Here is a 26,069-nt window from a genome sequence, read left to right as displayed (position 1 = left end):
TTATTTGTTATTTCTTAGCTATTCTATTTTTGTTATCTGATTAAAAATATGATTAAATATTTAAGGCAGATCTTTATGACACAACCAGACTATTGAAATTTAACTTAAATGTCAGAAATTCTTAAAAGGTGGACACACTAAGCTGAAGACTTCTCTGGATAAATTCGATACTTAGGAAAATACAAAAAGAAGTCCATGCTATCACCACTGGGTCCCCATTATAATTTAAAGGAATCAAGAGAGACATATTTTTATATCAAACTATCAATTTCTTAACTTTTTGACTGTTTACGTACACGCTCTGTATAGTTGCTTTTTCTTTTTTCTTGTACTAAGAATGAAAAAAAAGGTCACTTCTGATACAAATACTATAAAATAAGAGTAGTAGTTAATGTCTTACTGAATACTCCTAAATGAGGAAAAATTCCATTTAAAAATTACTTTCAACAATTTATATTTAAATTATCTGGCATGATAAATCTCATAAAGTAAAATCTAAAAACTTAGTTTTACTTTTTGAACCCAGTTTGCTCTTTGTTTCTATTACATACACATGAAAGAATCCTTGTGTACAAAAGAAAAGGGGAAAAAATGAGGCCAGATGAAAAAGTTAGCTAATAAAAAAGTTTAACTCTTGCATATATGAGCCATGAGTATTTTCTCATTTACCAGAATCCTAACAGCTCTATGAACTACTTTCTGGCCAGGCACCTATCTCTAGATGCACCAGAATCGCTGTAAGCATCTCGAACCGCACTTAGTGATCATCTACTAACATGTCACTAAAAACAAAACAACTGGAAAGTAACCTATCTTAAATTTAAATTTTAAAATGACTATACAAACCTGATTGGACATGGTGTCTGCAGCAAAGAAAATCTTTTTTTTTCTCAAAAAAAAAAAAAGGCCAGCATAATAAAAGCTCTAAGAGGTCATGCTTTGTTTCCTACACCACCTCCACCTTTGATGCTGGAAGGGCCTTGCAGGCAAACATTCCTTCCACTGAAGAGTGAGGGACATGGAATAGCTATTGTTTTACCTCTTCCATGCTCTCTATGTGTGAGAAGCCCATAGCTCTGGAAGGAACTGGGAAAAACAACTCTGATATGGTTTGGATATTTTTCCCCCTCCAAATCTCATGTTAAAATGTGACCCTTAATGTTGGAGACAGGGCCTAGTGGGAGGTGTTTGGGTAATGGTGGTGGATTCCGTATGAATGGCTTGGTGCCATCCCCATGATAAGAAGCAAATTCTCATTCTGGTAGTTTAAAAGAGTGTGACACCTTCCCTCTACCTACCTCTCCCTCCCTCTCTCACCATGTGGAACCACCTGCTTCCCCTTTGCCTTCCATCATGATTGTAAGTTTGCTGAAGCTCTCACCAGAAGCAGATGTTGAAGCCATGCTTGTACAGCCTGAAGATTTATGAGCCAATTAAATTTCTTTTTGTTGTAAATTACCCAGCCTTAGGTACCTCTTTATAGTAATGCAAAACTGAACACAAATTCTAACCAGAAATACCTGACTCAAGACAGGCAAAGTCTACTCAAACTACAAAAAGAAAGGTTACAAACTCCCATATTTTACTGTGCTGCATTACTTCCCATATTATTATAGATCCTCACTTGTATTCTTGCTGCTTAAATCAACTGGAAAACTTGGCTGTGTATGGCTTTTTAGCAAACAAGTGAGGATTTAACATAACATTAAGGAAAATAAGCAAGAGTGGGGCATGTTTAAATTTATACTACATTAGATGAAAAGGTTAATAACTTAAAAGTTTCAAGAAGCATAAACTTGGATGTGATAAACACATGTGATCAGGGGACTGTGCAAGAGGAGTCCAAAATCACAGATTCAATCTCTGCTGATGAACAACTATGTTTTCTTTTATTTGTTTAACTGGAAACCAAGCTGAAGCCTAAGTTCTATCTTTAAAATGTACTCTTTGGAGCAAGGGAAAAGGGGCAAAGAATTATAAATAAAGATAAATCTATGACTCCTCCATCACATGACAAATTGCATTGATAAAAAGATGGCAAAATGTATAAACAAAAAGTTTACATGATTTCACTAACACAGTAACAACTTAAAAAAAGTATATCACATATTAAAATAAGACAAGTAAATATGTGAAAAGTTGAAAAAATTAAACCAATATGAGTTTCTAAATACTTTCTATAATACAGCTGATCAAAGAACAAGACTTTTATTTTTTTTCTTGGCAGAAAAAACAATGTTGTCTCACCATCTATTTGAGATTTTCTCAGGAATATTGTGCTTGCCTCTGGATGGTCAGAAGGGTTGGACTCCAAAGGTAAATCTATAGAGGGAGAGAAGAAAAAAGATGTGATCATTTATAAAAATTTATCATCTCATTTATTTTACTGCTGCATTTAGGCTATTTCACTACCTCTATTTTTATTCTTATTTATCCATTGAAATTGAATGTATAGACATAAGACGAAGCCAGGCAAGATGGTGCATGCCTGTATTCCCAGCTACTCAGGAGGCTGAGATGGGAAAATCCCTTGAGCCCAGGTCAGGAATTTGAGGCCAGCATGAGTAACATAGTGAGACCCTCCTTTATTTAAAAAAAAAAAAAAAGGCAAATTTGCCTTTAAGTTGTGTAAAATCAACTTCATAGAATAAAACAAGAGAGCAGTATGTTTTAAAAGACAGGTCTATTTTATTGGCAAAATATAAGATGTATTCTGGAGTGTTTAAAATTTTTAAAAAGTAAATTCAGCATATCTATCTCTTCCATGTCATTCTGAGTACATAGAACCTTAGTTCTGTTGAGTAGCTGTCTTCCATAGTCAGATGAAATCTCTAAGTCTTCATTTCTTCATTAGCAAAACATAGGGAGAACATACATATAGGCCTTATTTGTATTGCAAAGGGCCAAATGAGACATACGTAAACTGTGCTGTAATCCTAAAGAATGACAATAAAGAGCCTTTTTTGGGCTCTCATCCAACACTACCCATCTATTAACTGGTGTGTAAAATCACTCAGAGGCTTTCCTTACACCACCAAGTGGAGTATGTTTACACAAATAGTTACATGCTTTGTGTATAAAGGTATAATGAATTCATTCACATATTTGTTTATTCTAAATTCTTAAATATCTTGAAAAAGTCACACTCATCATGAGTCTTAATTATTCTACCTCAGAAAAAATGAGCCCAACCAAAGTTTTTTTTTTCACTTTAAGTTCTGAGATACATGTGCAGAATGTGTAGGTTTGTTACATAAGTATACAAGTCCCATGGTTGTTTGCTGCCCATATCAACCCATCATTGAGGTTTTAAGCCTCACATACATGAGGTATTTGTCCTAATGCTCTCCCTCCCTTTGCCCCTCTACACCCGATGGGCCCCAGTGTGTGATGTTCCTTTCCCTGTGTCCATGTGTTCTCATTCTTTTTGCTTAGGATTGTCTTGGCTATACAGAGCCCAATCAAAGTTTAAATAGAAGAGCTATAACACATTTCCTCTACAGTAATAATATCTCTGGCATTTAAATGAAACCAAAGAGCCAAAGGATTTAATATCTTTGTGATACAATGTTTTCTATTTTGAAAAATTTAGTTTTTATTCAAGAACTGTATTGTTACCCAGAATTCTTTTTACTTAGATTCATCCCTTTGCAAAATTTTAGAGGCAAACCAACTAATTGTTTTCTCTTTTCTACCACCTCCCATCCCTCTGCCTCTCCCAGCAGTGTAGACATTGAAAAACTCCAACTTTCTTATCTTTGAACAGGACGCTATTGTCAGGAGGGGTAAGGACAAAGGGGGAGCCATGGCAACAAACACTCTTACACAGGCAAGGTCTGACATTTTAACCTTAAATCTTTATATTACACATTCAAAGTCTATATTTACATTTTATGTCTTTTAAAAGTTTTGACCACAAACCATCCCCACCTCTCTTTTAGAACAAGGAGGTAAATAATGTCTGTTAAGTCACCAGAATAAATCTGCAGACACACTTTGTGTTAAAGTAAGAATTTTAAAGTAATCAGAGCCTCTGCGGTGTACATGGAGGCCCTCATCAGCTTCACAAGTCACCTCACCAGGCTTTACAGCAGCAGCCACAGGCACTCCTGCTATCATGTCCCCAGCTGCTGCCTCATAGGTCTCAGACTCACAGGGACACACTGACCCCTGGTTCTGGTCCAAATCAGGGCTGGCCCTGGGGCACACACAACAGGTCAGTATGTTACCCATGGGGCACTTCTACTCCTGTCTGCCACTACCTATGCCTCTGCTCACAGCTTTGGCCTCACACTCCCGTTGCCCTAGGCTGAGGCTGTGCTGCACTTGCAGAGATGGTCTTGTCTGCTGCTTGCCTGCCGACACCACAGCCTGGCCCCAGCCACAGCTTGGGCCAATGCCTGTACCCTGCCACCTCCCATGAGTTGACTTCTCTTGGAGGGTGAAGACCAGCCAGCTTATTTAATAGGTGTGAACCCAACAAGCACTGAGAGACACAACTGCCTGAAGAGAGTACAGATGGAGCTCCTCCTCCTTCTGCAGTCACCTACAGACTGAAGCACACTAGCCCAGGTGGAAGCCCAGGCTTGTGGCTCACAATGCCCCACCCCACACTTCACAATGCCCTCCCTGACAGCTCACAATGCCCCACCCTGGCTGCCCCACCTCCCCTACAGCTCAGAATGCCCCTGCCTGGGCTGCCTCACCCTGAGGCTTATGATGCTGCTGCTCTCCTGGCCCCTTGCACAGTGCCAGTGGGACTAAGATTTTCATTCATCACCGGCTTCCTGAGCTTTTTAGTCCCAAGAAAAGCACAAGGTGGTTCCTTACTTGAAGCCATCTTCCTCTATGAGTTCTATACAAATCCTCAGTTAGTAGAGTGGGTCCCATTAGCAACCAAGTTGAGCAACTTTTATTTGCTGACTGAATGTAGATACACCTGAATTGTTGACTGCTTTTGTAACTAAATATTCCTCTCCTGTCTTCCAATGAGTGGTAGTTTTTGTCTGCAACTTGACCATAGCAGTCCCTGGGGCTCTAGCTCTACTCTCAATAAAGAGTTATGGCTGTGTGTCTTGAATGACACCTTAGGACCCATCCTGCCTCCACCTCTTTCTCCAAAAAATAGAAACCTGACTTGTCCCTCCAAGTTCTGAAATGCTGAAACTTACCAACTCCCTTTTCTCCCCTCTGTTTCTTCCTTCCACAGGAAAAACTTTCAGATTATTCTCTCTTTTACTAACAAAGCACTAAGCATGATTTTGTCATACAAAATAGAGAGCCATAAAGTGGGGTACCACAGTCCTAATTCAATAAAGATGAATACTCAACATCTGGCAATCAGTATGTGCCTGACAGTATTCTAACTGTGCTATGCTCATTTAACCCTCAGAAACAATCTCATTTTACAGGTTTTACAGAAGACACTGAAATGGAGAAAGTAAGTTATCTCCCCAAGGTCACACGACTGCTCAGGCTGGGGCCACAATTTGATCCCAGGTAGTATGAATTCCCCCAATTTCTCAAGCAGGATTATCAGAAAGTGTATTGGTCCATTTTCACACTGCTATAAAGAAATACCTGAGGTTGACAGGTAATTTATAAAGGTTGAGTAATTTATAAAGGAAAGAGGTTGAATTGACTCATGTTCCACATGACTGGGGAGGCCTTAGGAAACCTACAATCATAGTGGAAAAGGAAGCAGGCACTTCTTACATGGCAGCAGGCCAGAGAGTGTGAGCATGTGAAGGAGCAACTATCAAACATGTATAAAACCATCAGTTCTCATGAGAACTCACTCACTATCATAAGAACAGCATGGGCGAAACTGTCCCCATGATCCAGTTATCTCCCACTGGGTCCCTCCCTCAACACGTGGGGATTATGAGATTACAATTCAAGATGAGATTTGGGTGGGGACATGCCCAAACCATATCAGAAAGTAAAGGTAGAAGTCAAGCTTGGAGGGAAAGTGACATTGTAGATTAGTATATTTTTAAAAGAAAAACATTTCTTGATGTGGATTTTAAAATGCCTCCCCTTCATTCAACATTAAGTCCCTTCTACATACCAGGCACTGTATGTGTGAAACAGTCCTAACTCTCAATTAGTGTAGGCAGATACACAAACAAAGGCTTAAGGAGTTCAGTTTTCTGAGACTACACTGCTGGACAGGGTATGAACCTAGGATACAGACCCACCCATATTTGATCCCAAATTTGTTGCTGGGATGGTTTTAATTTTATTCTGAAAATTTGAGTCATTGAATCATACAAAGGTGAGGCATCTCTGTCAGATGTGTGTATAGTGGTCTGTATAATAATGAAGGACTAAAGGAAGCAACAAGACCAATTAAGAGACTTTATCTAAAAGAAGAGTAATGATAAAGGCAGTGGCAGTGACAAAAGTTGAGGAAAAAGTTTTCTGATCATTTGGGAGATGGAATAGGAAGTGCTTGGTCATGAGATGTGAAAGAAGAGGGGAAGCAGAGGGAAAACAGAGCGCTCAGGCTCTGCTGGGGAAGACTGAGTATGTAGCGGTGCCTTCCTCCTGGCAGAGAATGTAGGAAGAGAAATAGGTAAGGAGGAAAAGATAGTTTTTTACTCTCAGTGTCACATAAAATGGAATTCTATGGTCAAAAGTTGAATATAAATCTCTGTAGCCTAAGTCCATTTGTGACATCCCAACATATATTTTCAAAAATAACACACATACTAAATCAAACCATTAAGAGTAACCGGGGAAATTTCCTAAAATTTGCATGCTAATAATATCACCATTTTTCATTTATTACTTTCATGGAGCAACTCTGAATCTATGGTTACAGCAAATGAGGCATCTTGTATAAAATAAAACTAATACATGAAACAAAACATTTAAAATTCTATTGTCCTCAGAGAATAGAGAATGCAACTGAAGCCATGGGCATGGAAGTGATTGCCTTGAGAAGCTCTGTATAGTAAGAAGAATTGGGAAGAAAAAAATACGGAGAATAGGGTGATTTCCATGGCATTAAGTGAAGCTTGCAAATGTGAGCACTGGGAGTCAAGACACCTGCATATAAATCAGGAATGGCTGCCTCTGTAAGTCATTAGAAAGGAGATGATGTCTGCTTTTCATTTCTATAACAGCAGCACCTAACACAGTGCCTGGTCAATAGGTACTCAACGTGTATTATCTCAATGCACAGAGTCAAATGTTGCCAGGAGGGCAGGAAAGCTACAAATCAGCTATGATAACTTAGTGATTGGGCTTGTGTGTGTGTGTGAGTGAGCTGGATGTCAGGAAGTGGGTAAAGTATTGAACTGGAGGTGAGAAAACAATGACACAAACTGAGGGCTTCTCTTCCCAAGTATTTGGCTGAGAAGAGAGATGTAGTAGTAGTCAAAGGGAGACATATGGTAAAGAAAGCCTTTTATTCCAAGATTCAACAAAAAGGGTGAGTATACTTCTATATTAAAGGGAAAGAGCCAATACAGAAAATACATTTTTGAGTTTAGAAGGGAAGGAAGAACGAATGCACAAGGGCCCCCAAAAGGCACAAGTGCATGCAATCCGGATTGGGGCAGATTAGCTTTGGACTTCTACAAAAGCAAGAAGGGATTTATTTAAAATCATGCTTTGAATAAAAACTGACTTTAGATATACCTATGAATGTACTTAACAGTATTGCTTCCAAAATTAATGTTAATTCTATATTAAATAAAGTTTGTATTTAAAAAAAGAAAGGGAGAAAGGACCATGTCATTCCAGAGGTATTTCTGGTAGAGGAAAGGTTTAGGAAGAGATCTTTTGATGACCTTTATTTTAATAGAATTTTCAAAAAAACTACTGTGGGAAAAAGGATACTATGTATAGAAAAGTCTACACTTCTTGATACATCTAACAAAAAAAAAAAGCTTGATACACTAAACAAAACCCAAATAATGTCTTCCCTAAAAGTGGGTAACTTGAAAAGCAATTTGAGCATAAATCAAGGAGTTCAATGACAAGTATATCAAAAAGTGAAACACGGGTTTAATTTTTCCCACAAAGAGTTAAAAGAAATAACAACAACTTTGGGGGAAGAGGAAAAAATAATTAAGAAGAAAATTATATGCAATTCCAAAATGTGTGAATATTTACAAACTCTAACATAAGTTAACTACAAAAAGGACCAGAAGAATCATTATCATAGGAAGCAATGGGTAATTTCAAAAATCAGGGAAGAAGCGATGATTCATATGTAATTTAATTTTGTTGAAAATATTTCAGTAAAGTTCGAGGACAAAAATAGGTGATACGTTGAAATGCGGGAAACCACAGTGGAAAAAAAAAAGAATTCAAGAAAGTTCAGTTTCAGTAACCAATATCTAGTAAAATTAATAGTGTCTGAAGACCTAGAAATATCATTAGATACCATTTTGGATAATTCTTGTAGACTTGAGATGATGTCTATTTAAAGTTACAAAATAGTGCCTGCGCTTAACAACAGACACACTCGAAAACAGATATCCATGACTTTTATTTTTTATTTTTTTGAGATGGAGTCTCACTCTGTCCCATAGGCTGGAGTGCAGTGGTGCAATCTCGGCTCACTGCAACCTCTGCCTCCTGGGTTCAAGCGATTCTCCTCCCTCAGCCTCCTGAGTAGCTGGGATTACAGGCACATATCACCATGCCCAGCTAATTTTTGTATTTTTAATAGAGACAGGGTTTCACCATGTTGGTCAGGCTGGTCTCGAACTCCTGACCTCGTGGTCTGCCCACCTCAGCCTCCCAAAGTGCTGGGATTACGGGCGTGAGCCACCGCACCCGGCCCACAGATATCCACGACTTTAAAAATGGAAGAATTTTAAACTCTCTAAACAGGAAAATATTGGGAAGCATTGTTATGAAAATAGATTTTAAAACATTTGGAGTGAAGACAATATTGAAGTACGCTAAGAAAAATCCTAACCTACCATGACATTGGCAAGTCTGAGAGAGCAAAGAGAAATAAATTAGAATAGTGTGATTTGAATTAGGAGCTTGATTCTGTGAAATGAGCTGAGACCTTGTTTATTTATAGCTCCAAAGCAAACTAATTAATTCATCCATTCATTCAATACCCATTTAGTACCTGAGCTCTTAGCAAACATGCCGCACACTGTATGTAAGTGCTGGGGATATTGCTTGAACCAACACAACAAAGGTTCTTATTCTTGTGAAAGTTATCTTCCAGTAAGGGAATTAACAGACCGTGTTGCCCATCACCCCTGCCTGCTTTAGCTAGGATGACTACTGATCTCCAGCTATTGGATCTTCATTCCAGACAATAGGGTAGAGGGAGAAAAGAAGGAGGAAGGTTTTTTAGAAGGTACTCATAGCACACGGCTTACAAATTATTGGCTTAAAACTTAGTCAAATGGCCATACCTAGCTGCAGGGGAGGTTCAAAAGATGTAATCATATAGCTAGGGTAATGAATACAGAAGAAACAATTGGATATGGAAAGGAAACTAGCATGCTATTCCACAATCTCTAAAGAAAGATTAGGGAAGTTTTGGCTTAAAGCAAGAATAATCACAATAAAATTTTACAACCCTTTGCAAGCATATATGAAAACATACAAAAAAGGTTGTAATGATCTTGTCTTAAGCTGAGAGGAAAGAAAAAATGAGAAAAATTAAATTATAAAATGAAACTTTGGTTTAGAGGTAAGAAACATTTGATGACAGTCAAGAGATCAGGGTTGTACAGTATATTATGTGAATGTTGTGACTCATTGGTTTCATCTTGGATATCATAACTTGACATTTTGTAAAAGTGGTTTTTCATGAGAATTTTTTCAGGTGCCCTATAAAGTCCTGTCACATCAGAAGTGAATAATAATCTTCCATATTCATGAGATATCTTCATGGCATCTTCTACAGTCTTCCATTGTTTAGTTTAGGTAAACCTGGGAATCATGTTTGGGTATTGTCTCATCCAACTTCTGTTACCCATCCCCATCGTAAGTCATGAAGATCTTCGATATTTTGTGCTCTAGCAATTAATTCATCATGAAACCTGCAGTTGTTTGCTATTCCAGTCATTTGTCCTACTTCGCTTCCAGTAAGCATAGTGAATTTACCACCATTAACTCCTAAACCATATGGAATTTGTACATGTGATTTGACTTCGTGAGCAAAAATTCTATGTATATCTTGAAATTCGTGCCTAGTATAAAACATTTTCAGTAGAGATTATATTTCTGCACTCGGGCAGCTATGTAACTTTCACTGTTATTGCTGGTCGGGCTTTCCAGGGGTCATGATAACCTCCTGGGTTCTCTGGAAGAGGGACATATTCTTCAGGATGACATTGTAATATTTTGTTAGCTAAAATCTTTTATCTATCTAAATCGACAGTTCCTAATGTCTTGAGTAACAAGGCTGGTACTTTTTATTTTTCTTAGCTCTGTGAGTTAATGTGACCAATGCCTGAGGTTGAGTAATCAGGCCAATATCAGACTGGTCTTTGCCAGAACTTTTTGCCTAATACATTTCTCTATTGTTTTCTATGGGTCACAGGATGTTAATATTGGTTCTAGAATGTAATTTTAAAAAATGTTTTGTGAATGACTAGCAACATGGTAATTTCATTTTCAAATATAATTTGCAAGTGAAATGTGTAGGACTCCAATAAGGCACGATGACCTAGATCCTGAGTATGATCCCTTCAGAAGAAGCAAATAGTGAGTTGAACAAGCCCACTCCTGTCTGCTTACACCAGTCACTTTTGAACTAGCAGTTCAATGGCAGGCAGGGGGAATGACCTGTGGTTGCCAGATGTCCACTCAGTATGACCCTGGATTGGACATATAGTTACCTTGAGTCAGGCCAGCCATGTGTTGTTGGACTATTTCTTGGAGATACACTCATTAGTGACTGTTAAAGTACCTGAGTCATTAGGTACCTATAGACTATGCCCACTGATATTTGCATTAGGTGCAAGCTGCCTAGCTGTGCTGACACTGACTGAAGCTGTGAGGTTTCAGAATGACATGACACCCAATTACATATGCTCAGATTTACCATGTATCAAGAGGTATTCACACTATCAATTAGGCAATTATCATTCTACACACAGGCAGTAATAAAGAGAGTAAAAAACCACAGTGATGTCTCAGGATACCAATGTACCTCCAGAAGACTCCAGTGGGTCCAGAAGCCCTTTGGATACTGATCAGAGGCTCCTTTTGGGCAGAGATCACAGCAGCAGCCACCAGGTATGGAGAAGTCCTTAGAGTTTTCATGGACAAAGCTTCTGAAGCTTTGCTGGTTTTATGATCCTCCGCAGATGGGTCCATTCTCATTTTCTCAGCCACCTTTCACATCCTATCAGTTCATTTCAGGTCTCTCATGATCCCAGGCAGCAGTAGTTATTATCATCTCAGTCCATTCATATATGTTTATCTCTTTGGGGATGAGGGGACAACTTCACTGTGGACTTAATTCTACTGGAGATGAGTGATCCCATTTTAAGACATCGGGATCACAAATTATTATCACATATCATCAGGGCAGACAATAGCTACCACCTGAAGCTGAAAGCAGATAACTCCATTTATTCTGGAAACATTCTGTCTTGATTATGGTGCCAGTTACTGTGAGGGACTTCCTTTTCTCCACCTATTTTTTACAAGGTTTGAGTATGAACTGCTAACATTCTACTGATTTATGGATGAAGGGACTGACTGCACCATTCCAGCCTGTCACAGCACTTGCACCAATACTTCCACTTTAAGAGTTTTTCACCTTGTCCAGAACTACAGTCCATTAATCCTCTCATTTTCTCTCTTAAGAGAATAAACAACACATCTCATATACATACCCACACCCCTCTTCTCCCAAATACCAAATACACAAAAATCCAATCTCTCTCTTACCTAAGCAATTTTAGATAGTCACTTTCTCATAATTATCTTAAGCTCCCTGACTTGATGCTCATCCTTTCTCTGGCAAAATCTCATCCCTGGATGAGCCCCACTTTGTGTTGGCTCATTGACACCACTCAGCTGAACCCCAAAAATATCAAAAAGTGGTCAGAGGTATCATCATAAGTTCAAATTACTTACACAACAAATTGGCCCTGAATATTTCCAAAAATCAATAAAAGTTTTGTTTCTCCAATGACATCATTTATTCAAAAACCCAACATGTAGAACCAATCTTTTCTCTGTTCTTCTAACTTTTATTCAACTTCTTTCACCTGAATATCTTGCCATATCATTGAAGGAGAAAATATATCCCATCAGGCAAAAGCCTAAGAAAATAATATGCACAGGATGCACCCACCTCATCTTTCTCTGCCTCATCATATCAGAAAAAGTACCCCTCCTTTTGTCACAAGGCAAATCTAAGATAAAAGGTTTAGATGGCCTGTAATTCCAGCACTTGGGGAGACCAATGCAGGCAGACTACTTCAGCCCAGGATTTTGAAACAAGCCTAAGCAACTTAGGGAAACCCCATCTCTAAAACAAATACAAACAAATAATTAGCTGAGCATGGTTCTGCAGTATGTTAGCACAGTCTCCTCTACCAATGTAAAGACTCTCCTAATATGGGCAGTTTCTTACAAAACTACACATAATCTTACTATGTGATCCAGTAGTTGCATTCCCTAGGTCTTTATCCAAATGACCAGAAAGCTTATGTCCACACAAAAATCTGCACACAGATGTTTATAACAGCTTTTAAAATAGCTGCCAAAAGTCAGGAGGAACCAAGATTTCCTTAAGTAGCTTAATGATAAATACAAATGTGGTATATTTAGAAAATGAAATGTTAATCACATCTGAAAAGAAATGAGCTATTACTAACTGCATATTACATACTAAATGCATATTAGTAACTGAAAGAAGCCAATCTGGAAAGTTATCTATGATTCCAAGTATATAACATTCAGAAAAATGCAAAACTTTGGAGAGTGAAAAGATTGGTGGTTTCCAGTGGTTAGGAAAAGAAAGGATAAATAAATAGAGCACAAGATTATTACAGTAATGAAAATATACTGCAGGATATCATAACAGCTATAATGATACATTCATTATACATTTCATTCTCGTTATACATTTCTCCAAACCCTTAGAATGTGTGCCATCAACAGTATCACTCTGGGTGATAATGATGTGTCAGTGTAAGATCACTGACTATAATAAATATTCTACTCTGGTGTAGGAGGTTGTTGGTTGAGTGACCCAAGAGTGTACAGGAATCGAGGGCATATGGGAACTCTGGACTCTGCACTCCATTTTGCTGTACACTCAAATCTACTCTAAAATAATAATGTATCTTTAAAAATCTATTACTATCACGTAGCCCTTTTCAAGTCTCCAACTGGTCTGAGCCAGTTCTATTAAATCTCAGAAAACACTGGTTAATAAGCTAGCTCTGACCCAACTGGCAAGAAGAGGCAGAAGAGACCCAGGCGACGGGAGTATATTGCACATGCATGCACCAGGAAACTGGAGGAAGCTTGGAGGCCCTTTAGGCTGGTTCTGAGCCCATTGAAACTGCAGTTACAGGCACAGATGCCTGGGGCACCAATCTGAATTTGCCAACATCCAAGGCCACATGAACACAAATGCACAGTCTCCTCTGCGATCAGTAGCTAAAGATGTTAGGCCATGACTGGACTAGGATGGGAGATGAGCTGAGGACAATAGATTATGTAGACTTTTGTTGCCTCTTCCCAGCCCCAAGCATTTCACTCTTTACTCTTGCCACAGGCAGCAGGGACGCTCCCTATGAACATCATCCCCACAGTCTATAGTTGTGTTGCCCTCAGTCTCTTATACCCTCCTATGGCACAGTCAGTCAGGACATCCAATCCTGCAAACTTAAGGGTCCACACATGGCCAAGATAATGGGGTGAGCAGAACCCTCACCTTTGATCTGAAGACAAATGCCCCCTACCTTCTGGGCCTCTACCAGCAGCTGGAGTTCCTGGAAATCTCCAGACACACACCAGTGTTCTGAACTGCAGGCTGCTGCCCCATCCTATGGCAGAATAGACCTTTTCTCCACCAGAATTGCCCTGTTATCCAGTTGAACGAAATGTCTTTTTAACATAGAAACAGGGCACAGAAACTAGTGTTCCTTGGCTCTGAACCCCATCACACTATCTGCAGGTAAACACCCGTCCTTAGCAAATACCATACATTTGAGAACTCAGTCCCTGGAGTGTGGTCATTGGCTCTGCTTTCAGAAAACATCAAGGTACTTTTGGCAGCTCTGCAGATTTCATGAAGAAAAGCAAAAACATAAAACCAACTGATGAACACACACACACACACACACACACACACACACACCCCGCAAAGTGACTAACAGGATGTCCCTCCAGGACATTTGCAGAGAGGGGAGCAGAAAACATCCCAGGGCCCTTTCACAGCTACTTCCTTGAGCCCATTTTCAGACAGTGCTGTCTAGACCTGTCTCAGCCCAAGCACCTGGCAGTATTCAGGAGCTGGCTCCCTTACCTGAAATTCAACATCAAGAAATGATCTCTTGGCTGGGAGTGGTGGCTCACGCCTATAATCCCAGCATTTTGGGAGGCTGAGGCGGGTGGATTGCCTGAGGTCAGAAGTTCGAGACCAGCCTGTCCGACATGGTGAAACCTCACCTCTACTAAAAATACAAAAACTAGCCGGGCATGTTGGTGTGCCCCTGTAATCCCAGCTACTCGGGAGGCTGAGGCAGGAGAATCACTTGAACCCGGGAGGCAGAGGTTGCAGTGAGCCGAGACTAGGCCATTGCTCTCTAGCCTAGGCAACAAGAGCAAAACTCTGTCTAAACAAAAAAAAAAAAGAAAGAAAAAGAAAAGAAACAATCTCTTCTACTTAACATTGACAGGAATGTCCTCAAGCAGTGTCCTCATTGGCAGGGGTGGAGAGTTTCTTAAAAAGTGAGGTCTCTGCCCACCACCTAGAGAACCTGGAAATTTCCATCAATGCCACAAAGTCCAAATCACTGGATACTGCTCCAATGTATGGCAGATTAGACCATCTCTCCATTAGATCTGGGTTTCTATTCCATTGAATGAAATGGCTTTTCTATTACTGTGTCAGGATAAGGGAGAAAAAGGGTTTTACAACTGAACTCCAGTGTACAGTCTGCACAGACACAAGGCTTGTGCAAATATGACACAGTAAGGCCCCAGGACCCTTGAGCCAGCTGAATGCACTGAGTTTCAGGAAACAGATACATTCAGCAAAACAGTGGGCTTCATGCTGAAAGAAATCAAGCCAAGAACACACACATCACTCTGACACACACACACACACACACACACACACACACACAGACACATATTCAGACACCTTAGTGGCCAATAGGTCCTCTCACCAGGAACCCGCAGACAGGAGAGCAGAAAGCCTCCCAGGGGTCCATTACTGCACTTTCTGGGAAGCTTTATCAGATGGCCAGCCCTAGGACAGCATTGTCTTATCCTCATCCAGCACAAACTGCCATCACCCTCTGATGTGAGAGCTGGCCTCCTCAGCAGAACCTCTGTCAGATAAATTTCTTTTTTTTAAATCATGAGGGGGAAACTTCAGACAGTGTCTTGATCAGGGTGGGTGGAGAGGGGGGTTTCCTAGAAAGGCAGGGCAGGGCTGAAGCCCTCTGGGTTAGCTGTGGGCTTTTGATATAAAGGCAGATAAGACTGGACAGGTGGGGGAGTTAGCGAGGGGATGGACTGGGGTGTGCTGAAGAACTCCAGTTGGGAGGGTTCTGTTGCTATAACAGAGTTCCTGAACCTAGGTAACTCATAAAGAACAGAAATTTATTCTCTCACAGTTCCGCAGGCTGGGAAGTCCAAAATCAAGAGGCCTCTGGAGAGGGTATTCCTACTACATTCTCACATGGAGGTAGGTGAAAGGGAGAGAGGATGGATGTGATGTGCTCACATGACAGAAGAGTGACAAAAAGTAAACCCAATCCATCAAGCCTTTTTTATACTTATATAAGACATAACTATTTTATATGTATATAAAAAGTAACATCCCCCTCATCTACTGCAGGGTAGTAGATAACACCCACATATGGGAAATGCAGAATAGATAAATAATTTATTCTTTCTTTTATCAGTTTTCCAAATAAAAAGTGCCTTTTTGACCTAAACACCTCCATTAGGCTGCAGCTCCCAACACTGCTGTCTTAGGGATTAGAGTTCTAACAGATACATTTTGAGGGATACATTAAGACCATAGCAATTGTAAAACCAAAGAGTATCTGAGCCAGGTCTCAATCAGTGTAGAAGTTTATTTTGCCAAGGTTAAGAACATGCCCAGGAGAAATAAACACAGAATCACAGACACAGTCTGTGGTCTGTGATTTTTCTCTAAAGATGATTTTGAGGGCTTCAATATTTAAAAAGGAAAAGTGACCTAGAGAGGAAACAGGAAGTGTGTGGTGATCCTCATGTTGCAAGAGAAAAGGAGCACGTAGGGAAATAGTCAATTATGTACTGATCTTATGCTCAATAAATCAGCACTTGATTAGATAAGATGAACAGGGTAGCTACCTGTGGAAATGTTTAAACTTTTATCTGTAACTGCTTACAAAGCCAAGGAAAGGCAGCTTCTTTCATGACTCAGCTTTCAGCTTAATTTTTTTCTTTTGGCATAGGAAATTGGGGTCCCCAATTTTTATTGTCCTTTCATACAATGATCAATCCCTAGATCTATTATTTCACCAGGAGTTGCAAAATAGTAATATTCTAATGCTACCATTACACCTTCATTTATTAGCTGAAATACTTACATAAAAAGTAACTTCCCCTTGATCTGTTACTTAGTTATCCAGTCACACCACCCACACAGGAAATGCAGAATAGATGAATTATTCCTTTATCAGCTTTCCAAATAATAAATTGGATCACTGGAAGCCTTTTTCTTGCTTGTAAGCTTATTTATTATAGTTACAAATCCATGCACTTATTGCTGTTACTATACTAATTGATGTTCCAATGACAGTAGGAGCATCATGTCTTCTCCTAGGCCCTGTGATATACCCTAGTAATGTTTCATAGCATCCTTATTTTATGATATGTCAGGATGATCCAGAATCATCTCATACATTTTCTGTCCAGACCTAAATTCAGGCATTTCTCCAAGGAACTCTGATCTCTTTTTATAAAAAATTGTTATTTCCAGAATATAGCCTGGATATGAGAAATGCTGCCTTACTAAGGTGGTCCTTGATTCATGGCTTTTTCTGTGAATACACACAGGAGTTCTCCTTCCTTCTAGGTTCTCTTTTTTTTTGAGAGTTAAAGCATATCATGAATCCATGATGACTTGTCCTATCCAAATTGAGGACTATAAAGTGTTTGTTACTTTGTAACTTCTATCTGTATCCCCTTTCTTCTATACTAAGAATCCTAGGTCCTCAATGACACCAGGAATGACAGAATTAAAGTATTATTGCTCCTCATCTCCTTCATCCTATAATACCCATCTATGAATTGAAAATGAACAATGCCAACAACAAACAGTTTTAGGGTCCTCGTTTGGCAATTCATTTTTTCCTTAGGATATATTTCCTTTTGGTTGTACAAATTGCAATGCTTTAAGGTGACTCAAAACAGTTACTCTTGATATGTTTAAAACCCTCAACTAGAGTTTTAGGACAAATTTATGTTTAGGTATTTTATATTCATTTTTTATTTACTGATTTTTCATTTATTAAGATTTTATTATGAATAATATTAATATTGGCTGGGTATGGTAGAATGGTTCATTCAGATTGTTTGGGACTTGGGTGCTCACTTCAGCAGATTTTATTATGAATAATATTAATATTGGCTTGGTATGGTAGAATGGTTCATTCAGATTGGTTGGGACTTGGGTGCTCGCTTCAACATATACTAAAACTGGTTGGGACTTGGGCTACACCAGTGTCTAAATATTTCTCTATTCCCCTGCCTTGATGGACCCTGCCCTGCCATGAAAAGTTGACTAAAGTAAGCTTAATTCATTAAAATGTGATTTTAATGTGCCTACTTCTTTGCAAGACATTTGCCAAAGTTCTAAACTGAATTCTGGATAAAAACAGGTAATGAATTTTATTATCTGTTCAAGAAATGAATTCCTTGCATTTACAGAAGCAAGACTGGATGACAAAACTTTGTATCCTTCAAATGAAGATGATGTGGCCAGGTGCCGTGGCGGGCAGATCATCTGAGGTCAGAAGTTCGAGACCAGCCTGCCCAACATGGCAAAACTCTGTCTCTACTAAAAATACCCAAAAAATAGCTGGGCGTGGCAGTGGCTGCCTGTAATCCCAGGAACTCAGGAGGTCATGAGAGGGAGAATTGCTTGAACCCAGGAGGCAGAGGTGTCAGTGAGCCGAGAACGCACAACTATACTCCAGTCTGGGCAACAGAGCAAGACTCCATCTCAAAAAAAAAAAAAAAAAAAGATGAAGTATGCAGAGAAGAAAGAGCTTTCACTTACTTACATGAAGTACTGAAGATGTGACCTCAATTTCACTTGCTGCTTGATCAGACTGAAAGGCTGAGACATTGTTTGTGCCAAGCTCACTAGCACTAGCAAATCTCTCTGGGCTCTAGGTATGCATGGAGCTGGCATTGGTGTCATCACCTCCATGATGTAGATCTTGCTCATCAAACACTCCAACCAGCTGGAAATGAAACATAAATATGCATTTATAAATAAAGACATTTAAATTACTACCAAAAATGTATACTACTTTGACATAAGTCTACAGTGGGAAAATACCTGAGTGACCCCAGAATGTTAAGTTTTAAGAAGCAAATCCTCAGCTGGGCATGGTAGCTCACACCTGTAATTCCAGCACTTTGGGAGGCTGAGGTGGGCAGATCACCTGAGGTCAGAAGCTCGAGACCAGCCTGGCCAACTTGGTGAAATCCTGTCTCTACTAAAAATACAAAAATTAGCCAGGCGTGGTGGCAAACACCTGTAGACCCACCTACTCGGGGAAGCTGAGGCAGGAGAATTGCTTGAACCTGGGAGGTGGAGGTTGCAGTGAGTGGAGATTGCGCCAATGCACTCCAGTCTGGGCAACAGAGTAAGACTCTGTCTCAAAAAAAAAAAAAAAAAAAAAAAAAGAAGGAAAAACCTCAAAAAGACAGTGTTTCTGTGAGTGTTGATGGTTTACTTTTACATTTCTGAAGTGAATATTTTATAGACAAAATTCTACAGCTGAAAAATAATGAAACTGCTATCACAGCATGCTAAGACGGAAGTAAATTTAAATATGTTCTAAAATATAGGCTATATTGTTAAGTGGAAAGAAAAAATGCAAAACACAGAGCAAGAATGCATATATATACATGTGGTATGAGCTACACTTCATATAATGAGAAGGGGATATTAGAAATTATATACGTTATCTGCTTATTTGTGCATAAGATATCTAAAAAGGATAAAAGGGAATCTAATGAAATGAGAATCTAATAAAAGGAAATCTAATAATATGAGCATGCAGAAAGAGGTGGGGAAGAACATAAGAAGCCTAAGTAACTTTGGAAAACTCTATTTTCATTGTTGAAAGCTAAAGACAAAAAATATGTCACACAAATACTATCTTCTAATTAGTAAATTTGTTTCTTAACAAGCATATGGTTTCACATTTCTCAATCTACTATACACACACACACACACACACACACCAGGAACAAACAAACAAGTGAACATATCTTGGAAAATAAAAGCCAATGTTCTCACTGTTAGAAGTTACAAAGAAGGAAAAGCTAGAATAAACTCAGTGGTGTTAGAGTGGAATCAAAGGCAACAGTATGAACTCACAGTTTTTATGAGTAGGTAGGTAGGTACACAGTCAGATAGGTATAGACAAATGTTAACGCATGTGTGAGTACACCAATATAGAGTTCCTAACTCTGTCCATGAAGAGATCCTAGAGTAAATGGCATTCCCATGCCAATGAGCACACCTAGTGCTCAGATCATGGTTTCTAGTACCATTCTCCAGTTAATGAACCAGGGCTCCCTAGAAATAGGGTTAATTTCAGGGCTGAGATCAGGGAAGACGCGTGATAAGCCTGGAATGCTTTGTGATGCCAAAAATAAGGAAGAACTGAAAAATGATGAAGGCACATCAAAAGGAAACAGGTGCCAACCTGAAGGGGCTCTCAATGGACAATGTTGAGTGTTGGGAGAAAAGCTGAGTGTTGGGAGAGAAGCTGAGGCAGTGCTTGGAACATGTCCGGGGTCCAAGGTCTAAAACCTCTCATGGCCTTTGGAATGTGTCTGGACTTGCTGGCTCCTTGCTTCTAGCACTCCCTTTATCTCAAGTAGCCATATGTTTCAAAGAAAATGCTGAACCGTCACAGCTGTAGCTCATTCACTTGATACACCACTTCCTTTCAACCCCCACATCCTCACCAACTGTTTCTTTGATCACCAATAAACAGTGTGGGCTCCCAGAGCTTGGGGCCTTCGCAGCCTCCATACTAGCATTGGCCCCCTGGTCCCACTTTCTCTCTTAACTTGTCTTTCCTCATTCCTTTGATGCCGCCAGACTTCATAGACCCCATGGCCTGGTGTTGGGTCTGATCACCCCAACAGTTGATACAACCTGAAAACAAAATAAATAATATTAGCATTGGATCATAATCCAAAGAATACACTAAACAGCCATGAATCCATAATAATATAAATAATTGAATAAATAAGTGGTGTAGAAGGAACAGCTGTTTCCTACTGGAGCATTCCAAACAAATACAGAAGGAATGATGGAAAGAAATCATTAGGCAATCTCCACCGTAATAACTGCTGTAGGTAAAATTCTACTCATGGGTGCTAGGATTAATGGTGGAGATTACGATAACAAACAGGATATTTGTATATCTACAAATGTCTCCCCACAAAATACATTTCAGCTAAAAAGGGAAAAATACTTGGCAGCCACCATTCTACCAAGATTAACATCACCAGTAATGGCAACATCACACACCATCTGATAAAATGCACTGAGAAGTATGTAACATTACTTCTGTGGCATTCCTGCCACATGAATCATATTTATTTCATAGACTGTACCTCCGTTTGAGTTTATCTGATGTTTCCTCATGATTAAATGGAAGGTTACTTCATGACAAAACATCAGACACACCCAAATGGAGGTGCAGTCTACAAAATATTTACAAAATAAATATGATTCTTAAAAAGTGTCAAGGTCATGAATGTAAAAGAAATAATGAGGAAATTATGCAAACTGGAGGAGCCTGAGGAAAAATGAGAACTACATGCAACGAGGACAGAAAATGGGTACTGGAGGGAGAATTCAGATGCCCTCTGAAGATTAGTCAACAGTACTGAATCAGTATGAATTTCTTACCTTTAATAATTGTTCTATGATTATGTTAAACATTAACAGTAAGGATAGATGAAGGGTATGCAGAAATACTGTTAATATTATTTCAATTTTTCTGAAGTATACAATTATTTCAAATTGAAACATTTTGAAATAAAAATTGATTCTATTTCTTCTTATAGCTAATATAGCTCTTAAAATACTAATACACTTATTAAAAATCCCACGAGAATAAGGTCTAAGGATCTACCATGACTGTCACCTTGGGATATTCATCCTACAGACCCATGCCTAGAACAACTAACTTTAGGATTCCGAGGAAACAACCATGGCTGAAGCCAAAATCAACCCCTTTTCTGCCTCCAATCCAAGGACAGAAATATACATGTACACAATTCAAATAGCACACATAATTACAATCCTCATTTTATAAATAGTTTTGTCAATTGGAACAAATGCTATTTCCATGAATATGTACATTTTACATATCATCAATCCATTTATGAAACAACAAAGAGGGTCATAGAGACATGTAAACAAACAAGAGGCTCAGGACCCTACTGAGGTATAACATAAAATCACCTGATTAAATAATCTGGAAGGAGGATAAGTGGTATGAAGAAATCAAAACAGGATGAATAGTTGAGCCACTCAAAGTTATAGCGAGCAAACTAAGTAGGAAAATAAATCGTTAATAGTTACAAAAACTGGAAAGGTGCTTGTATGTATATGACAAATTGTCCATAAAATCAACTTGTTTTTCTGACATTGGCTGGCAAGGATCTCCCTGTACTAGTAACACAGACATTCCACTAGTTTAGGAGTCATCCAGCAAACTCATCCTGAAAATGGCAAAATAGTAAACATATTTGGAGCTGTGGTCCACATCATCTGTTTCATAGTCTACTCGACCTTTGCAGCATGACAGCAGCCATAGACAACATATAAACAAGTAAACAGGGTTATAGTTAAACAAAACTTTAAGTATAAAAGGAGTACTGATAGGGTTTTTGCATATGTTACTTTAATTATGACTTTAATTGCGTAAAGTATTCCTGGAAACAACAAGGGCCACATTCTCCAGGCCTGTGGGGCGTGGCAGGAGGCAAAGCCGAAGGCGAGGTGGCTACAAAGCCATCTCCCATGTGCGTCCCCAGCTTCCAATTCCGGTGGGGGCGCTGGCTCCTGCCCCTCCCCAGCATCTATATATTCTTAAAAGTTAACATTCTAGGGTCACTCAGGTATTTTCCCAATGTAGACTTACGTCAAAGTAGTATAAACTTTTGGTACCCTGGTTCTGATAAGACAAGAAGGAACCTTTCAGCCAGCCCTGATTGGGTCATATTATCCAATCAGAGTTGTTTTGCACAGTGGCTCTCACCCAATCCGAACATGCCTTCCAGGAGAGCCAGTTAAATAAGAGTCATTATAAATAGTTCCCCCTTGGGCTTTCGTCATTTCACCCCACTCCAGGCCGCGTGGTCTCTACTGCTCCGCCCTGGTCAGGAGGAGAAAGAAGAGGGCCAGGCGCCATGTGCCCGCACTCTCCCTGGATGCTGGAGGCCGGTCCGCCCTAGGCAGGAGGAGAAGGAAGAGAACTGGGTGCTGCCCACCTGCACTCTCCCTGGATGCTGGAGGCTGGAGGCAGTGAGGCAGCAACAGCACAAGGCGACTTTGGAGCGGCCTAATATAGCTACCTAGCCTTCCGCTGTGCCTCCTCCCAGAGCCCAAGAAGCCTGGAACTTGTGGCATCCAGCGCTTAAAGGAGGAGAGGGCAACCCAGCCAAGGGTGAGTCCGGGAGTCTGGGGTGCCAGCGGCAGAGGGAGGCCAGGCAGGAGTCTCGGCCTCCCAGGGAGTGGCGTGCAGGGAAAGGCAGGAGGGCCCCAGCGGCAGGAGGGGTTACGGGCCGGGGAGGGAGGCCTCAGGCTGGGAGCCCAATAGACCGTCTGACCCTCCCCGAGCCCCATTCCAGGCCGAGCCAGGACCCCTCTGATGCACAGGACCCTCGGGAGCACTTTCTGTTGTTGAATCCGGGGCCCAGTGCGGCTTGAACCCAGCCCCCGACCTCCTCCTCACCCTCTGAGAACCCGTTGGGGTGGGTGCTGGAGAAGCCCGGGTCAGAGAGGAGCCCGGGTCGGAGAGGAGCCCTCCCCTTCTCTCCTCCGTGGAGGCCTTGGAGCCTCCGTTTCCTCCGGGACTGGAGTCCGGGGCCTCCTGCCCGACCCGGGGTGAGAAAGGGAGCCCCTATCAGGACCCAGTGAGAGGGCACTGGGACCCAGGAGCGGCGGTAGCCTTGGGCGGCAGCCCGGGAAAAGGATGGAGGTCCCCTTGGGCCCCCGGTCCCCCACTGCCGGGGCCTCTGTCACCTCCTGGGGGTCCTGCCCCCTGGGGTCCCACCCTCCGGGCTGCCTGTGGGTATCTCTCATCTGGAACTGGAAATAACCCCCTTCAAAGTACGGCTTAGCAAATATTTATTCGCCCATGCACCCCCTTTTTTTTCTTCATATCTAGTGTTCTTATTATCTTGGGTCATTTGTGTTTTTCCTGTATTGATGTGAAGCATTTTTAAAGACAATTTAGAGATTAGTCCTTTATTGGTTCGTTTCTATTGTAGGTTGTTGTTTCCTAGTCTGGTCTTTGTTGTTTAATTTCATTTTTTTTATTTCTTCCTTGATTGAATTCAGGTAACAATGTTTTTCTTAGAATATTTGTATCTGTGTTTGTGAAACAGAGCATCTGTTATTTCTGGGTTTTTTTATTGTCTGATCAGATTGTGTATTAATGTAATGATGGCCTCATGAAACAAATTGAAAAACCATCCCTTTTCTTCTTTCTCTTTGAGAGAGTGAGCAGTGTCGATATTTTTTTCTTCCTTAAATATTTGGAACATTTTCAAAGTCTGATCCTGGTATTTTCCTTGTGGAGCATTATTGTTTGTTGATTTGTTGGATTTTTTTAAAAATAGTTAATTAATTTTGTTTAATATACATAGGAGTGTTTTTATTTTATACTATTTTTGTGCCAGTTTTAGTAAGTTGGGTTTTCAACATCTATTGTGATCTCTGTTGTCAGACTTTTGATCATATGTATTTCACAAAATTCTCTGATTATCTTGTTATAGTACTGTTATGCAGAGCAGACTGTTGTTTTGATTCTGATACTGGTCACTTGTGTCCTTTAATCTCTTTTCCTTAATCAGCTTTGCTAATGGTTTATTATCTATATTATTTATAAGAACAACTTTTAGCCTTGGTTTATTTCTGTCGTACATTTTTCCATTTCATTGATGTTTGTTAGCTTTATTATTGCCTTCATCCTGTATTCTTTGCACTTGATTTTTCTTTCTTGATTCCTGAGAAAGAAGTTGAGGTGCCTGGCGCGTTGGCTCACACCTATAATCCCAGCACTTTGGGAGGCCAAGGTGGGTGGATCACCTGAAGGTCAGGAGTTCCAGACCAGCCTGGTCAACATGGTGAAACCCCCGTCTATACTAAAGATACAAAAATTAGGCGGGCGTGGTGGTGGGCGCCTGTAATCCCAACTACTGGGGAAGCTGAGGCATGAGAATCGCTTGAACCCAGGAGGTGGAGGTTGCAGTGAGCCGAGATCGCGCCTTTGCACTCCAGCCTGGGCAACAAGAGCAAAACTTCGTCTCAAAAAAAAAAAAAAGAAGAAGAAGAAAGAAGTTGAGGTGACTGATTTTCAGTGTTTCTGGACTCCTGCCCTGCAGAGATCCTCTTGCTGTAACCTGTTTCATGTGAGGTAGAGTTTAGAAAATGTTTATTGGCCTCTGTGCCTTACTTTTCTTCATGTACTCTTCTTATTTTGTTAATTTTTCTTTAGGGCTTTTTTTCCTTATATTAAATTGAAGGACTTATTGTTAAAAATCTGTAAGCCCTTTATTGGCTCATTTTTGTCATAGGTTCTTGTTCTCTAGTTTGATTTTTGTTCTTTCATTTCTTTGTGTTCATAGTTGTATATAGTAATCTGGTTGATAATGATCTTGTATGCAGTAGCTTTGCTTAATTTATTTATTAATTGTAACACTTTATGTCATGTTAGGCAGTACTGAGTGCTTCTGGGAGCAGCCAGGTTTCCATGAACTCCCAGTTTACTCTAAATACTCCAGCAACCCACATGTGTGCACACTGGATAATGTCACGCATGCAGGGCAATGATGCTGGGGATGCACGGACTCTGCCATTCTGTGAATCCACCGCACAATTACAAACATTAGCATTAAAATAAAATGGACTGTTAGGCAACTGCAAAGGACTAATGCACCTATGTGGCACAAATGTGTCTTTCCGTATTCAAAGTACTTGTAAGAGCTTCAAGTTCCTCATGCTCAGCCACTAACATCAGGGGTCTTGGTACACAGGCACACATGCACAGACACACATATAGGCACACATATACACATGAATGCACCCATGCGCACACATATTCACACACACATGCAGATCCTCACACACAGACATGGGTGAGAAAGTCAGATGTACATGGAACAGCCCCTGCTTTGTAAGCTGTCTGGCTTTGTAGGGAGAAAGAGGTGAAACAACACACTGTTTATCTTAGAAGAGGAGATGAAGGGAGGAGAGCTGGATATGTCCAGTGGGGAGAAATCCAGGAGCCACTCCACCAAAGATCAAAGTCTCCGCGTGGATGATACCCACAAAACATATCAGTAGAAAGGACATAGCCAGCATCAGGTCAGTGGTGAGTTTCATGAGTATCAACTGT

The 26,069-nt window shown here is 40.2% G+C and overlaps 1 long non-coding RNA gene and 1 pseudogene across 2 annotated transcripts in view; one reads left to right on the top strand and one right to left on the bottom strand.

The window, feature by feature from the left end:
• Positions 1-4,552, bottom strand: part of CCNYL4 (cyclin Y like 4 (pseudogene)) — a 38,675-nt pseudogene extending 34,123 nt beyond the window's left edge. The window contains exons 1-2 of the transcript NR_024524.1: positions 4,263-4,552; positions 2,248-2,322 (exon numbers count right to left, since the gene is read on the bottom strand). The product of NR_024524.1 is annotated as a cyclin Y like 4 (pseudogene) (transcript). The remainder of the gene's footprint in view (positions 1-2,247; positions 2,323-4,262) is intronic.
• Positions 4,553-11,156: 6,604 nt separating this feature from the next.
• LOC105376500 (uncharacterized) lies at positions 11,157-25,598 on the top strand. The gene is made up of 3 exons (XR_930832.3): positions 11,157-11,229; positions 15,804-15,874; positions 22,799-25,598. It is a non-coding gene; the product is annotated as an uncharacterized LOC105376500 (long non-coding RNA).
• Positions 25,599-26,069: the final 471 nt, after the last annotated feature.

The sequence above is a fragment of the Homo sapiens genome, chromosome 10, assembly GCF_000001405.40.
Source record: "Homo sapiens chromosome 10, GRCh38.p14 Primary Assembly".
Taxonomy (NCBI): Eukaryota; Metazoa; Chordata; class Mammalia; order Primates; family Hominidae; genus Homo; species Homo sapiens.
Note: the sequence above shows the minus strand (reverse complement) of the source record. Positions and strands in the feature narration are given on the sequence as shown.